The sequence below is a fragment of the Homo sapiens genome, chromosome 7 (genome assembly GCF_000001405.40).
Source record: "Homo sapiens chromosome 7, GRCh38.p14 Primary Assembly".
Lineage (NCBI taxonomy): Eukaryota > Metazoa > Chordata > Mammalia > Primates > Hominidae > Homo > Homo sapiens.
In genome coordinates this window covers 60,988,805-61,005,822 of record NC_000007.14, presented here as the reverse complement: position 1 = coordinate 61,005,822, position 17,018 = coordinate 60,988,805, and the positions used below count along the sequence as shown (strand labels likewise).

Below are 17,018 nucleotides of genomic sequence, written 5' to 3'. Positions count from 1 at the left end.
ATATGTTTAAGTCTTCTATTCTGATGGTAGATCTCTCTGGTTCTTCTTGTCATTATTTGCATTTTTTGTTTTATGTATTTTGAGACTATGTGACTGGGTGAATATTGATTAAAAGTAATCTGTTATTGGTGAACAAATTCCTTTTATTATTGTTTAGTGACCTTTTATCTCTTGTACATTTTTTTGCTCTATTAAAGTTTATTTTACCTAATATTAAAAAAAAAAAAAAAAAGAAAAGAAAACATGTCTTTGTGACATTCTCTATGCCAGGAACTCCCAACATATTTTCCTTGAAACTGATGAAATGAATAAAAATAAACCAAGAGGTGTGCTGTTTGTTTCTGTTTCCTCCTTTCTGCAGCCCTTCTTGATCATCTAATATTTTTAAATACATTGTTGATCAACAAAAGGAGCATAAGGGCTTTATTGGTTTGTAGTAGATGTATTAATAGCCCAGCCCCTATTCCTTACCTGTAGCTGCTGGGTGGAAAACCATTCTTAACACTCTACAAGGTCTCATCTCCAGAATTTGCACCAGTTTCTAGCTGAGGACTTTCTCTAACAGCACGGGACCTTGTTACTGGGCATGAAGTGGGAAGAAAAGGTGAGGGTAACTAAGAAGAATCTCCCTGGATTCAGTGATGTAATTCTGAGGCATGCTCCACATAGCTTCCCATAAAATTAAGCCCAGATATCTAACACAGGAACTTACCTCTTAACACGTGTGGTATTGGCTTTTCTATCTTTCCTGTTTTATTTTGTCCTCTTTTCTTTGTCTCACTTTCGCTGTGTCCTCACTCCTGCTTTAAGAATACCCAAACAAATACGTTCATTTATTTTTTTACACTCTCAGAACTCAGTTGATAGTTGAACTTCTAATCTATGATAATCAGCTTGGATGCTATACTGACAGGAAGATGGTGAACTCATAATGTCTAATTAAGATACAATTTAAAAAATATATTGAATCATGTCCAAATATTTAAAAATCCTTAGCGGCAGTGTCACAATTTCTTCTTTTTAGTTTACATGGTTTCTTAAATGCCTACAATTATTTTAAAGGAAGCCTTGAGTCTAGGAAAAATTGAGACATATGGAATAAATTACTAACCCATTTCTCCTTGAAATCAACTAGATGTTTGATGATTTTTCACATGTAATTCTGAATTGAAAAGCTAGTTGGGAATTATTTTTATAAGCATATCCTTATGTAATATTTTGTTTCTAACAGTGAATTGAAAGTTTAAAGATTAAATTATTCTATCCAGAGAATAAAAAGCAATTATTTCCCAAGGAGAACATGTGTATGTTGAAACGACATTTTAAAATCTAGATTTTAAAATAGGTCCCATATAATTTTGAGTCAATTAGAATATGTTTGCATTAGTCTGTCTACAGTTCTACACCTGTCAAAAAGTACTTGAACTAAAAGAAGTACCTTGAACAATTTTGAAATTTATTGTTCCTCTGAAACTGATTAAAAGAATTATGGTAGTGTGAAATTCTGATTGGCATAATTTGGGAGAGAAATTAGTCCTTGGAGATCAACCTCTGCCAAGATAGTATATAATGACATTGAAACTTTTTGATTTACAAAATTTGTTATATAAAAAATACTAAGACGATGACAGATAATACACAGATTTTAATTAAAATTGTACTAAAATTAAAGGTCTAAATAAATTACAAGGGTAAGTGGTATATCTAAACGTATGTTTATATATTTTATTTGTGCATTTTATTCCTAGGGTTGCTTTTGCTTTAGTTTGTAAAACCTTCTCATTTTTATGACAATGTAGTCTATACTAAATAAAGAAAAATCAGGAAATAGAAAATGAAGAAGAAAACATTAGCCATTGTCAACCAAATAAAAATTGTGCAATCTCTAAGTACATGAACGATGTGTTATTTGTACAGCATGTACAATGTTTATGCTTCACAGGGTGAGGTAGAGTCTGCAAAACATTGAACCTGGGACAAATAAGAAAGTAAGGAAATTTTCACAATATATTAATATTACAGAAAATGTTGAACTTAACAGTTAAGATACAAGTAGTGAAAAATGATAGTATTTAAGGAGATTTAGAAAATTTAATCTATATCAGTAATGTGTGAGAAGTATTAGAATAATGCTTGTATTTCTGGATTGATATCGATTTCTATTGAGACTGGAAACATAATAGAAGTGAGCAAAAAAGAAGTTAAATTGTGGATACTTGAGTTTTATACCTAGGAGTTCGAGAAATACATTTTGTTACTATCAAAGCAGTTGGCACAAGAGTGTACAAAATTCCCTAATTGTGTCTATGTGGAGAAGACATAGACAAACAGAGAATAGCAAAACAGAAATAGCAAAAAAGCACAAATAAATTTTACGTAAAAGCCAATTAGAGTAGGAAAACATGAAATTTGTGTTTTATCAAAATTTTTCTCTTTCTTATAGTATAGTTGATTATATTACTGGAAAAAAATTGAAGCATTGGTATGTTCACAAAAAAAAGTAAAATATAAGGTCAAAACCATGGGAATGCAGGGAGCAGACAAAATACACCTAAACACTGAAACTGATTTTGCCCTACGGACATGTATCAAAATGAATGAGTGCAGATTCCTACTGTCATACATCACATAGGACAGTGAAGAAATACATAGTGTTTCCCAAGATAGGGCATCACAAAGGAGCTCTTCCCTAAAGCTAGCACCAAATTTTATATGCTCAGTATAAAGAAGAATCAGAGGTAAATTAGTCCCATTTCACATTCCCTGGAAATGGCAAATAAAAATGACTTGAGATTGCACAGATTTAAAGAAAATCAATCATTAATGATTTACAGCAATTAATTTAAAAATTGTTTAAATGTGCTGTCCAAATATAAGTCCAAACACCTTTAGGCCAAGAATTAATATAATGTGATCCCAGAACGGTGGTGCCTTTAGTAGACTCACAAAAACTTCAAATTCTCTTTGGCAAATTTTCTTCTTACTAACATGCAAAAGTGCACAATAAAAATTTTCAGAGAAAAATAAATCTTTGTCATTCAAAGGCATCTAAGTACGCAAGGAAATGATATTCCACCATTTGAAAGGAAAGCAGAAAAAGAGTACAAACAGATCCACAAAGGTTCATTAGTAGAAATATCACTGTTAGATTATAAAGCACATTTGCTTTCAAAAAATTTAAAAAAAAAAAGAATATATTGTTAAGAGACTAAAAAATTGATGTAGCAAATTTGAAAAGTAGTTTGTATATAGTATTTTAAATTAAAAACTCAAAAATGAACTCATCAGATTAGACATGGCCATGGTGAGAGTTCATAAATATTTCAGAATGCATTACAGAAAATTTAAAAAAAGGCATAATGTGGAGAGAATCATGAAGAGACATGGAAGATACAGTGAGAAAGTGTAGCATGTGTTTAGTGAGTGTTCTCATAGAAGAAGGGAACTGGGAAGGGACAATATGTGATGGTATTTTGGCTGAAAGTTCTCTAGACTTTTGTAAGACATTAATCCGCATATTCAAAACTTCTATGCATGCTAAGCAAGCTACAATGGAGATAAACCTACATCTACATATCTCCTAGAGAAATAGTAAAGAATTAGGAAGGGAAAAATATTTCAATTAGCACTAGAAAAATCAAATTACCTATAATCATACAGAAATCTGAAAGCATGAAAGGTAAAATAAACAATATTATTTGTTAAGAATAATAATGCCATTCTGAAATTCTCAACCAAGAAAAATATTCATCAACCTATGGCTAAATAACATATTTAGAGACAAAAAACAAAACGCCACCAGCAGAATTCCACTAAAGAAACTAAAAAGAAACTCTGAAAACATGCTTCAGAAAGATTGAAGTTCTGAAGTCAAAGAATGAACACAGAGCAAAATACATTGTAAACATACAGATAGATCTAAATAAAAAATTAGGTGTTGAAACAAAAGGATATTTAAAATTGGATAAGCACTGAAATATGTATGTTAGGAAGCAAACTATTAGGACTGAAGTATTCAAAGACCCCTTAATTGTCTGACAAGAGCAGAAAGGTATGACTTTGCATCTCGTTTTTTTTTTTTTTTTTTTTTTTTTTTTTTGAGAAGGAGTCTCACTCACTCTTTCTCCCAGACTGGAGTGCGGTGGCGTCATCTCCGCTCACTGCAACCTCTGCCTCCCAGGTTCAAGCAATTCTCCTGCCTCAGCCTACTGAGTAGCGGGGATTACAGCTGCTTACCACCATGCCTTGCTAATTTTTGTATTTTTAGTAGAGACGGGGTTTCACCAGGTTGGTCAGGCTATTCTCCAACTCCTGACCTCCTGATCCACACGCCTCGGCCTCCCGAAGTGTTGATATTACAGGCGTGAGCCACTGCGCGCGACCGACTTTCGAACTTTAATAAATTGACTGGACATTATGCATTTCTCTGTTGTATCTATGAAAACAATAAAAATAAAAGTCATAATTTTTAAACAAGAAGACAGAAAGTGATAGGAGAAGATGAGACATTATATATATACACACAACAAATTAATAATACAAAATTAAGTATAAATGATCAAAGATTAACTTAAACCTAAGTAGACAATGTTTTTGTTAAAATACAAAGATTGGCAAAATTTAAAACATCCGTCTCTATCATAGTTACAAGAGAGGCAACTAATATATAAATTTACAGGAACTTTGAAGTTCAAACAATACAGATACTGTGTATATATGATATACATACAAACATACTACATGAATATAATTTTTTAAAAAGTTGCTATGTAGACAAAATAGAATGTAAGTTAGAAACATTTGTTAAAATATGTTAGTCTAACCAGGGTGATAAAAGTTTTAAGTTATTAAGAATATGTGATGACTTAAATGTGCATTAGCCTGATACATACGTATGTATATACACACAAACAACACACCCTCTCTCACACACACAGACACACACCTATTTAGAGAGAGAGTCAAATTATATAAAGCAAAAATATCAGAAAGTAATTAGAAATGGATCAGCCCCCAAATATTATAGACATTTCAAACACACGTCTTTCAGTAATAGATAAAAGAAAAAAATAAAAGAGTAAGTTTTAAAAGAAGCTAGTGGATTTTAAAAAGGGCAAATATTATATAAGGAACATGAATATTATAATTCATGTTATTTTCATGTTCATACAGAATACTTACAAAAATTAACATTTTCTAGGCCATACTACAAATTCAAACAATTTTCACGGAAATAACGTGACACACAATATATTTCCTAAACAAACAGCAATGAAGACAGATATCAATACAAAAACGAAAGCTAGACACATAAGTGTAATAATATTGGTTGGAAGCTATTTTAATGAATATTGAAATATTTTAAAGGTGAATACTCAATACAAATAAACCCAACACTTTTGTAAGGCCACTAAGATGCATGTGTAATGTGTAATGCCTCCTTTTATAAGGAGTAAATCTGTAACATCACCTGGGCTATTTGGCAACTGCAAAGTGAATGTGAGAAGGAGAGAAACAGTGAGAGAGAGAGAGAGATAAAACCAGTAAAATAAACATAAAGAATGAAGGAGATAGCCAGGCGCCATTGTTCACGCCTGTAATCCCAGCACTTTGGGAGGCCGAGGCAGGTGGATCACCTGAGGTCAGGAGTTCGAGACCAGCCTGGTCTAACATGGTGAAACCCACTCTTTACTAAATATACAAAAATTAGCCTGGCATGGTGGCATGCATCTGTAATCCCAGCCACTCGGGAGGCTGAGATGGGAGAATTGCTTGAACGTTGGGGGTGGAAGTTGCACTGAGTAGAGATCACGCGACTGCACTCCAGCTTGGGCGACAGAGCAAGACTCGGTGTCAAAAAAAAAATAAAAAAAAAAACGAGGAAATAACAGACGAAAAAGCAGAATTAAAGCAACTGGGTACATATTTAAAAATGCAAAAGCTCACTTTTTCAGAAAAATATTAAAATATTAAATCTAACAAATATCTAGGTAGACTGATGGAGAAAAATACGGAAAATGCACAAAAAAACAGTTACCTGGAATGCGAACGTTACAAAACGTCAGCAGTTGTAGATTTTAAATAAGCAATGATTTTTGAGTTCAACCATGATGGGGTATATTGAAAAGAATCTCTCAGAAAAAAAGAAAAAGAAAACTGTTATAAGGCTAAGTACAAAATGTTAAGCACTATTAAAGTCTTCCAAATCTACCAGTTATGGAGTTATTGGTCTTGGACTAACTCTCCTGAAAAGAAAAAACAAAACAAAACCTAAAAACCTGGATAAAATGGCCTACCTTGGGCACTGGCAATGCATCCAAGCAGGTAGGACCTGGGTGCTACATTCTCTTTGTCAGAACACAAAGCATTCATACACTCTTCTCACCCTCACTTTCACCTTTTAATCTTAGATCTACTATTAAATGTATTCAACATTACTATCAATCCTTTGGTCAAAATTTCTTTACTCACATTTTGCTTGATGCACTTGGATAGACTGTTCAAGAAAGTGTGAGTAGTGAATTCCTCAAACTCTTGCATATTCAAAATCACATTTTTGAACCTTGATGTTTGAAGTGTAGCTTGGGTAACAGATGGGCTTTAAGACAATTTTGGCATGCAAGGGGTTGAGTTTATTAGGCATCAGCACCGCTGAAAATCGTGGGGATGCAGGCTTAATTTCAACACTATTCTAAATACTTGAAAGATATTATATAATTCTTTAATAAACTCCTGTGTCTACAAATGGTTCACATTAACTCGATATCCATGATTAAACATCTATAAAATCAAGGCACTGTTATTTAGTGGAGACTTGCTGGCTATTCTATGAGAGGAGGTATTGTTATTGTAATCTCATCCTCTCATAAAAGTGTATCATATTACTCATAACCAGCCCTTCATATTCTATTCCTATTTTGGTATTTTAAAATAAGATATCTTTGAAACACTTGAATTCAAAGAGGGAATCTGAATAATTTTTAAAATGTCAATGAAATGCCATTTCCTCATGCTTCAACAACTAAAAATTGACTAAAGTGCTTCTCTTCAAACTTTCTGGAACATTTTTTATCTAAATTCTAAGAACAATCACAATAGGTTTTAACCACAAATGTGAGAATATTCTAAATGTTAGGGTGGAAAAATTTTTAAAATAATTTTATAGTAATTTTTTTCATCATAGTGACAGTTTGCTAAATTTTTTTAAGCCAACTATTACTGTAGACATTTAAGTCAGGATTCTAAGAAGCTGTTGTAAAGTCCAAAATTTAGTTTCGTATACACTGATAGTATATATATATATTTGCATAGAAAATTAATACATGTGAGCCATGTTTCAAATAGTAGAGATTATTATATCAAAGATACTTGATTATATAAAATGCCAATTACTTATAGGCAGACATGCTTTAAATAATTACATAGGCAGTTGTGGTTGATTCTACTCTTGCTACTGGCATTTATATGGACATACTATTATGGTCTGAAGAATATTTAGGCAAATTTATCCCTCATATGATCAGAAGAACAATGCAAGATAGTTTATATCTGAAAGGAAAAAATCTTTATATGGTTCTGAAAGCGTAAATCATTAACAACTTGGATAATAATTAGCATAAAAATACACAAACATGCCCTCTTCCTAGCAGTAAGTATACAGTGACAACAGAATCAAAGCATGTGGCTATGTGCATGTTTATATTTCAAGATGCAGAGCACTCTATTCCTCCTCTCCGCCCCTTCTAGATGGCACAATTCCTCATGAATCTAAGTGCAGTCATAGGGTGGATTAGGGTGACCTGCCATTTGTATGCAACTGATCTCTATTTTGGAAGTAATTAATGTCAAAATATATTTTTAAAAGATAATTTCAAATTTCAGGGCAAACTAGCATGGTTTCACCCCTTTTCTTTGGAACATTTTTTCTAAGGTTGGAAAAGTAAGGTAGGCTTTAGTACGATTTTAAATAATAAGTTTTCAAAGTGAGACGCAAAATGGTGGCGCCAACACATTTCACATCTGCTACATTTTGAAGACACTTATTGGAGAAAAGACCTTCTCATCATTTTTCTCTTACAGGAAAGGAAATAACATGTACAGTTGACCCTTAAGCAACACGGAGGTTGGGGTGCTGGCCCCCCTGCACAGTAGAAAATCCACTATAACTTTGACTCCCCCAAAACTTAACTACTAATAGCCTACTGTAAGCCTTACAAATAACACAGTCAACTAACACATATTTAATGTTATATGTCTTATATACTGTATTCTTAACAAACAAGCCAGAGAAAAGAAAAAAGAAAATCATAAGGAAAATATATTTACTAGTTATTAAATGGAAGTAGATGATCAAACAGGTCTTCATCCTCATCCTTTTCATGGGCAGGGTGTGGATAAGGATGTAGAATTCTTGGTTTTGCTAAGTGGACGTGCACAGTTCAAACCCCTGTGGTGCAAAGGTCAACTGTATAACCATTGAATCGCAGTTTATTTTTAGAAATTAACCTCACTAAAATACTCTTAGAAGGATGCCAAAAAAAAAAAATGAATAAGTATTTTTGGTTCATCTATTTCATCATTTCATTTCATCCTTTCATTTCATCATTTCATCATTTCATCAAATTTCCTCATTTCATCATTTCATCTCATCATTTTATCATTTCATTTCATTCTTTCATTTCATTTCATCATTTCATCTCAACATTTCATTTCATCATTTCACTTCATCTCATCATTTCATCATTTCATCTCATCATTTCATTTCATCTCGTCATTTCATTTCATCTCATCATTTCATGTTTTCATCTCATCATTTCATCATTTCATTTCATGTTTTCATCTCATTTCATTTCATCAATTCATCATTTCGTCTCATCATTTCATCTCATTTCATTTCACTTCATTTCATTGTTTCATTTCATTTCATCATTTCATTTCATCACTTCATCTCAACATTTCATCATTTCACTTCATCTCATTTCATCATTTCATCTCATGATTTCATTTCATCTCATTTCATTTCATCTTTTCATCTCATCATTTCATCATTTCATCTCATTTCATTTCATCATTTCATTTCATTTATTTCATCATTTCATCATTTGACTTCATGTCATCATTTCATTATTTCATATCATTTCATCATTTCTTCTTTTCATTCCATCATCATTTCACTTCATCATTTCATTTCCTCATTTCATCTCATTTCATCCTTTCATGTCATTATTTCATTTCATAATTTCTTCTCATTGTTGCATTTCGTCATTTCATCATTTCATCATTTCACTTCATCTCATCATTTCTTCATCTCATGATTTCATTTCATCTCATCATTTCATCTCATTTCATTTCATCCGTCATTTAATTTCATCATTTCATTTCATCTTTTCATCTCGTCATTTCATTTGATCATTTCATTTCATCAATTCATCATTTCATCTCATTTCATTATTTCATCATTTAATCATTTCACTTCATTTCATCATTTCATTTCATCATTTCATATCATTTCTTCATTTCACCATTTGATCTTTTCATTTCATGTCATCTTTTCATCATTTCATTTCATCATTTCACTTATCATTTCATTTCATTTCATTTCCTCATTTCATTTCACCATTTCATCATTTCATTTCATCATTCCATTTCATCATTTCATTACATTTCATCATTTCATCATTTCACTTCATCTCTTCATTTCATCTTTCATTGCATTATTTCATCTCATCATTTCATCTCATTTCATTTCATCTCATCATTTCATTTCATCTTTTCATCTCTTCATTTCATTTAATCATTTCGTTTCTTTTCAACTTTTCATCTCATCATTTCATCAATTCATCATTTAATTTCATTTTTTCATCATTTCATCATTCACTTCATTTCATCATTTCATTTCATCATTTCATATCATTTCCTCAATTCATCATTTCATCATTTCATTTCATTTCATCATTTCATCATTTCATTTCATCATTTCACTTATTTCATTTCATTATTTCATATCATTCCATTTCATCATTTCATTTCATTTCATCCTTTCATCATTTCATCTCATTATTTCATTTCTTCATTTCATCATTTCGTTTCATTTCATCATTTCATCATTTCATTTCATTTCAGTGTTACATGTTTTTAAGTTCTAATGCGATGCCCAGGAGACACCCTATTTCCCTTTGTAAAACACCTCCTTCAACAAAAGGCAACTTCTCATGGCTGGCTAAGTCTACAGGGATACCAGCCTCTCTTCAACCACCCAATTTCATTTAGAACCTCAAACAGCACCTCAGTTTCATAAAAACCTAAAACATAAACACAACACTTGGTTGTAAGTGAGCCAACAGTTTCTTGTCTCTTTCTCTGCTCAAGGCTTAAGGCCGTGTCTCCCCAACTACATTCAGTGGAAGAAAAGATCCCATGGACAAATAAGTTTGAGAATTGTTGTTGCAGGAATTCTCAGAACTTTCAAAACACAAATCCTTATCCGCAGGGATCTTCAGGAGGTAGATGGCTGATGCAGCACAACTTTCTTTCACAGGAGTATCTTGCAGAATACAGTATGAGATACAGAAAGCCTGCATTGAGTCTTTTTAATGGCCTGGGCCTTGGTGGGGGTGGGGTAGGAGCTTTCCAGATAGCATCTAATGAGTAGGAACATTCAGGTGGCTTTTTTTTTTCCTTATTGGCAAAACAGTGTGTACACCATGAATGAAGCTGGTCTCCCTTATCCATGTCAAAACTAAACCCAAATTAATTGGCTAAATTGAGACCCAACACCTCCAGGAGCCACGCGGCAGAAAGCCCCAACAAACTTTAAATTAGCTTACCTCATCATATTTGAGGAAAGCAAAACGCTTATGACGAGTACGCTGCTAATACAAGTCTACAGATAATGCTGCATGAAAAACCGGTTTTTCCAATCATAGCTGGCATAGTCCACATTTTGCATTACACTTTCTCCCCCCTTTTTAAAATTTTAAACACAGGTCTTTTTCTCTTCTTTTTTTAAATTTTAATTAAATTATACAAGACGGAGTCTCAGTATGTTGCCCAGGCTGGTCTTCAACTCCTGAGCTCAAGCGATACATCCGTCTCCGCCTCCCAAATTGCTGAGATTACAGGCCTGAGACACCGTGCCTGGCCTTAAACACAAATCTTAATTCATTCTTACAATTATTCTGAGGTTACAAAAATGGAAGGGGAAGAAAAATGGCAAGCAGGTAGGCTGACTTCGGCTTCATTATTCGGAAGGACAGTTTGCTCGGTTAAAACACACTACTGCCTACAAAGGCCAAGACAACAGAAAAATACACACTTACATAAATAGATTTCATACGTGACAGGAGTTTGAATGGAGACTTTTTCAATGCAATGAGAAACAGCTGTGCTTGGGAATAAATGACAACGAATTTTTTATCTCAACAGCTGTCCTGAGAGCCTGTCTCTACATCTCTACCTGCATTCTGGAATCAGGGAGAAAGCCAAAACAGACGACAAGACACTAGATCAGCTGTGTCCAACCCTTTGACTACAAGGACTTTTCCGCCTATCTGTGGTGGTGGGTATCATGAAAATTATGCACAAACTTTTTTTTTTTAAGCTCATCAGCAGTTTTTAGCATTAGTGTATTTTATGTGCGGCCCAGGAGCATTCTTCTTCTAATGTGGCCCTGAGAAGCCAAAAGACTGGACACCTGTGCAGTACATCAAAAGGCTACTCCTTCTGGAAGCAATTGTAAAGAATTTCTGACATTATCTTGACATGAAAACCAATGGATAGTGGGACAGAATGCAAAATCTTCAAGAATTTTTTCTGTCTTTTTTTTTTTTTTTTTGAGTCACGGTCTTGCTCTGTGGCCCAGGCTGGAGTACACTGGTGAGATCACAGCTCAGTGGAGGATCAAGTGCTCCTCCCGCCTCAGCCACAGTAGTAGCTGGGACTACAGATGCGCACAACCACCCCTGGCTAACATTTTATTTTTTGTAGAGATGGGGGTCTCACTATATTGTCCAGGTTGGTCTCAAACTCCTTGACTCAAGGGATCCAGGACAGGATAACAGGTGGGAGCCACCACACCTGGCCATGTGCATGAACTTTTAAGACAAACACAAGGCCCCACAAAAGTTAAGGTTTTCCCACCTAATTTCCATGGGGGATCTTTTGGTGCAAGCCTGAGAAGCCCTTAAAAGTACACAGACAACTCCAAAGATTCAAGACAGTTCATTTCGGCTGAGCCAGCCCACTGGTCAGACTGACCTTCAAAAAAGGCCCACCCATGACATACACCAGATGGCTGTCCAAGAATCTCTTCAGTCCTCAGGGTCCCTAAGGTACTGGACAGAGCTAGGAAAGCAAACCCATTTGCTTCTTCCTGCAGGAAACCCCTTGAGGTCAAGACCCCACAATCAGACGAGGATGGAGTGGCTCACCCTCAGTCAACAGGCCAGACTCAAGGTGGTGTAATGTCTTAACCAAGGGTGCGGGCCTCCAGGTCTGACTCCCAACTCAGTTCTTCTTTAATAACCACACTTTGTTAATTCTCCTTAACAGGGGTTCCTGGCAAGTCAGTTCTCCTTCAGGCCTTCGGTTTCCTCACCTACAAGATGAGAGGGCTGGACCAGATGGAAATTCAGAGGGTAAGGGGATGTCCGCGCGCAGCCCACCCCCACCCCCACGGGACCCTGGAGCCTCCATCTCAGTTCCCACCACGCACCAGCTCCACAAATCCTACCCAAGGTGAGGGCTGTTCCTGGGTCCTCCGGCTGGCACATCAGCGAGCGCAGGAGGGAGGGGAAGCCTCCAAGGGGGTGACATGGGCTCAAGGATGCAACTCGGCCAGGAGTCAACTGCGGCCCCGAAGGAGGTGTCCGGGCCGCTCCTGGATCCCAGCCCGGGTCCCCGAACCCCTTACCTCCAGGGTCTGTATCTCCTGCTGGGTGAGGTCGTTGGACACAGCGCACTTGGTGCACAGCCCGCACAGGCTGCCAATGAAGATGACGATGAGCTTCTGGAGCTGCCCGCACTGTTGCAGCGCCCGGCTGGCCACAGCCCCTGCGCCACCCTCCGCGGCCGCAGCAGCACCGCCGCCACCGCCCTCCTTCTCTCCCATTGCCTCCGCGCGCAGTGCCGCTCTATGCAGGCCACAAGGGCCTAGGCAGGGAGCCTGGGGCGCCGGCGCCTAGGCAAGAAACCCCTGAGCCAGGAGAGCTGGACCAGGAGCGCCCCTCGGCGCTGCCCTTGCCAGGATGCCAGTAGATCTGGCAGCAGAGTCTGCTGCTCCGGCCCTCAGAGCCTCTGCGGCGGGGACAAAAATCCTCGGCGGCGGGGGCAAAAAGCCCCGGTGGCAAAAAGCGGCGGCGGCGGGGGCATAAAGTCGCGGCGGCAAAAAGCCCCGGCGGCGGGGACAAAAAGCCACTGCGGCGGGGGCAAAAAGCGGCGACGACAGAGACAAAAATTCGCAGCGGCAAAAAGCCGCAGCGGGGGCAAAAAGGCATGGCGGCGGGGGCACAAAGACGCAAAAAACCGCGGCAGCGGAGGGCAAAAAGCCGCAGCGGCGGACGGCAAAAAGCAGCGACCTCGGGGGGCAAAAAGCCGAGGCGGCGGGGGTGCAAAAAGCCGCGGCCGGCAAAAAGCCGCAGCGGCGGGGGGACAAAAAGACGCGGCGGCGGGGGGCAAAAAGCCGCGGCGGCGGCGGTGCAAAAAGCTGCAGCGGCGGGGGAGCAAAAAGCCGGGTCAGGCAAAAAGCCGCCACGGCGGGGGGCAAAAAGCCTTGGCGGGCAAAAATCCGCAGCGGCGGGGGGCAAAAAGCCGCTGCAGGCATAAACCCGATGCGGCGGGGGGGCAAAAAACCGCGGTGGGGAAAAAGCCGCGGCGGCGGGGGGCAAAAAGCCAGGGCGGGGAAAAAGCCGCGGCCGGCAAATAACCGCGGCACAGGCGGGGGCAAAAAGCCGCGTCGGCGGGGGGGCAAAAAGCTGCGGCGGGCAAATAACCGCGGCACGGGTGTGGGGGGGCAAAAACCGCGGTGATGGGGGCCAAAACGCCGCGGCGGCGGAGGGCAAAATAGTGGAGATGGGGTAGAAGGCAGGCACAGCTTGGCATTTCTGGAGTGTGATGTGATAGGAATTGTGCAGTCAAAGACAAAAAAAGTTGTAAGTAGGCTTGACTCATTGCAGCTAAGAACCCAGATGTTATCTTGAGGGTATTAACTAATAAGCAGTTTAAATCAGAATGGCACATTCTGATTTGTTTTTTGTATGTTCACATTTGGCAGGCATAGATACTGTTTGAAGAGAGAAAAGTCAGTAGAGAGAGGTAACAAACTTAAATATGTGCCAAGTCTAGAAACAAGAGACCAGGGGGATAAAGACCTTTCGAAATAAAATGCAAGATTTGAAAACTGATTGGCTGGGGGATGAGGAAAAGGCAGGTCTTTAAGGTCAATCGCTGTTTTGCTTTAAGTTGTTAGGGGGTGGTTTTTATCACATGTTGTAGAATATGTCATTTCAGTTTTAAACATCTTGAGTTAAATTGTCCTTACATATCTTATGAATTTGATTTTCTTCCCTGGGAAGCTAATATTTCAAACACTTAAAGAGTATATAGATCTCCAAATTGTATCCAATTTATAAAATTATCTCTAGGCTGCTGATTTCAGGAGGAGGCTCATGAATATTCTCTTTGCAGAGAATATATCAGGAGTTAACAACAGCTTCAATATTTTTGGACGACCAGTTAACTAAGCCACCTCTTAGTGTCTTTAGTTGGGAAATCTTAGCTGAAGATATTCAATAATGAACCAAGAGTGACTAAAAAATTCAATATTTAAGTATATTTCATTGTAATTAATTTGAATTGAAGTAGCCATATACAGCTAATATTTACTACATTGAACAATGCAAATAAGAGGAAAAAATTAATAACCATCTCTAATACCACATGCCAAAATCCTCATAAATTTATTCTAGCTAAAGGAGTTGATCAGAAGCAGCAGTTGAAAGCACCAACTAAACCAGCTGGGGTTAGTTCACTATCATTCTCTCAGAACCATCTCTTCTCTCAACAAAACAAGTACAAGAATTCATTGTGAATCTGCATTCTCCTTGCCTATTTTAAGGTATTCATGTTGACACTAGTTTGTGAAATCCCTCCTGTGGTGTGATATTTCGTTTTCCTTGCTTTCTGTTAGGACAAGAATGCTTCAGCTCTTAATTTAAAATTATGTTTCTCCCTCCTAGGTTGAGTGAACTTAGAATGCGTTCTCTGACATATCCAAGATTTTGTTAATATGAATTTCGGGAAAAAAGCATACTTAATTAGCTAAGACTTATTATTCTAGGCTTGACCCTATGTTCTACATCTTTTGAATTTCTAGTTGCATGGGCTGCTCTCTGACACTGGTTAGTGACCTGGAAGCTATATTAATGTTAAGGGAGGTGGTGTATGAGCATTACAGGTATCCTTGCAAGGAAAGACTTGTCTTACCTCAATATGTCTTTTTTTTGCACACAAGAAAGTCAATGTCTGAGTCTTCTAAAATCTTCCTATTTCCAAGTTGCAGAGCACCATTGATTCCTAAACAAAGACCTAATTTTTGACTCAGAGATGTGGCAAGGTAGTGAATCACCATTATAATTCAGCAATCTTCAAGATAAAATTATCTCTGATATTTAGATTTTGCCCAATTATTAAGATATTTGGGTGTTTCGTTAAGAATGGAAGACTCTAGTCTCTTGAGCAGAGACTATAAAGGCCTCAGATGATCATTTTTAATTTTATGCTCTTTTCTTTAACACCTTCAACACAGTTGGAAGCAGCCGATATTTCCCAGAGTTGTTGTGTTTTTTAAACCAAATGAATGGTTCAGTGGTAGAAAAGTGGGCTGACCCAAGCTGTTTTCAGTAAACACTTCATTTCAGGTGACCTATTTCATATTAAATAATCTCTAGATCCTGTCTTTGAAACTAACTAGATCAGATAACCTACCCTGGATTTTCTCCTTTTAGGGTCAGTGAGCTGCAGTCACTTTTGTGAAAATGACTGCAATGACAAGATAGAGTTGTAGATGGGGAAAGTATTTTGACTAATTTAAGCATAGTGGTATTTCATATGAGAATTTAAGTTACACACATTTGAAAATTATAATGGAGTCTCTTGGCTGAGCTTTAAAAAAAAGTGTTTAGACTAAAAAGGGAACTGCTACCTCTCCTAAAATCAGAAAGATGTTACAGTAATTCTCCATTCTCTAGAAGTATCAAGAAGCACCTTTGTGATGATTTACTTTTGCTCTTGGGAGTGTGAGTCCGTGTAGTCGTGGAACCATCAATTAGAATGGTGGCTTTCTGATCCCAAAGTCATTCGTTCTGAAAACAATATTTTTCATAAATTTGAAAGTGAGAAGTTTTGATCTTGCCATTCCCAAGTATCTCTCTTAATAAGAGACATCAGCATGCTTCAGTGACAGCTGTCACCTTCCAGTGCTGAGAGTCATCTTTGAGTTCTCCATTTCACTCCCTACACTCCAATTTAGCTGCAGTTCTCTTGGCCATTCCTATGAAATACATCCATGGCCTAACGACTTCTCACCACTACTACCATTCATCCTGACAGCATTCTCACCTAAGTCACTACCTTTTTTCTCTGGATTAGAGTAGCCTCCCAATTTATTTGCTCACATAACCTATTTATTCTACACAGTGAACCAGATACACCCCTTTGAAATGCAAACACAATCATGTTATTCTCTGGTGAAATTATCTCATATATTCCTATCGCATTTAAAATTAATTCAGAATCATCATGATTATCAAAACCCTACATGCTCTTCCACAACATGGTTTACTTCCAAGATATCTCTTCAACTTTTTTTCACTGTACTGAATTGGTGACTAATAGTCATATTTTTGTTTTTGCTCAAAAAGTCTTGACTTGTAAATTTTTCATTTTCTCCTTTATCCACAGGTAACTCTTTCCTCATAAGATGAATTGCTTGCTTCCTTGAGTTCTGCTCTCAAAGATACCCT

The 17,018-nt window shown here is 37.2% G+C and overlaps 1 pseudogene; it reads left to right on the top strand.

Annotated features, from left to right (window-relative positions):
• Positions 1-12,602: 12,602 nt before the first annotated feature.
• Positions 12,603-13,921, top strand: LOC101060796 (histone H1, gonadal-like; annotated as a pseudogene).
• Positions 13,922-17,018: the final 3,097 nt, after the last annotated feature.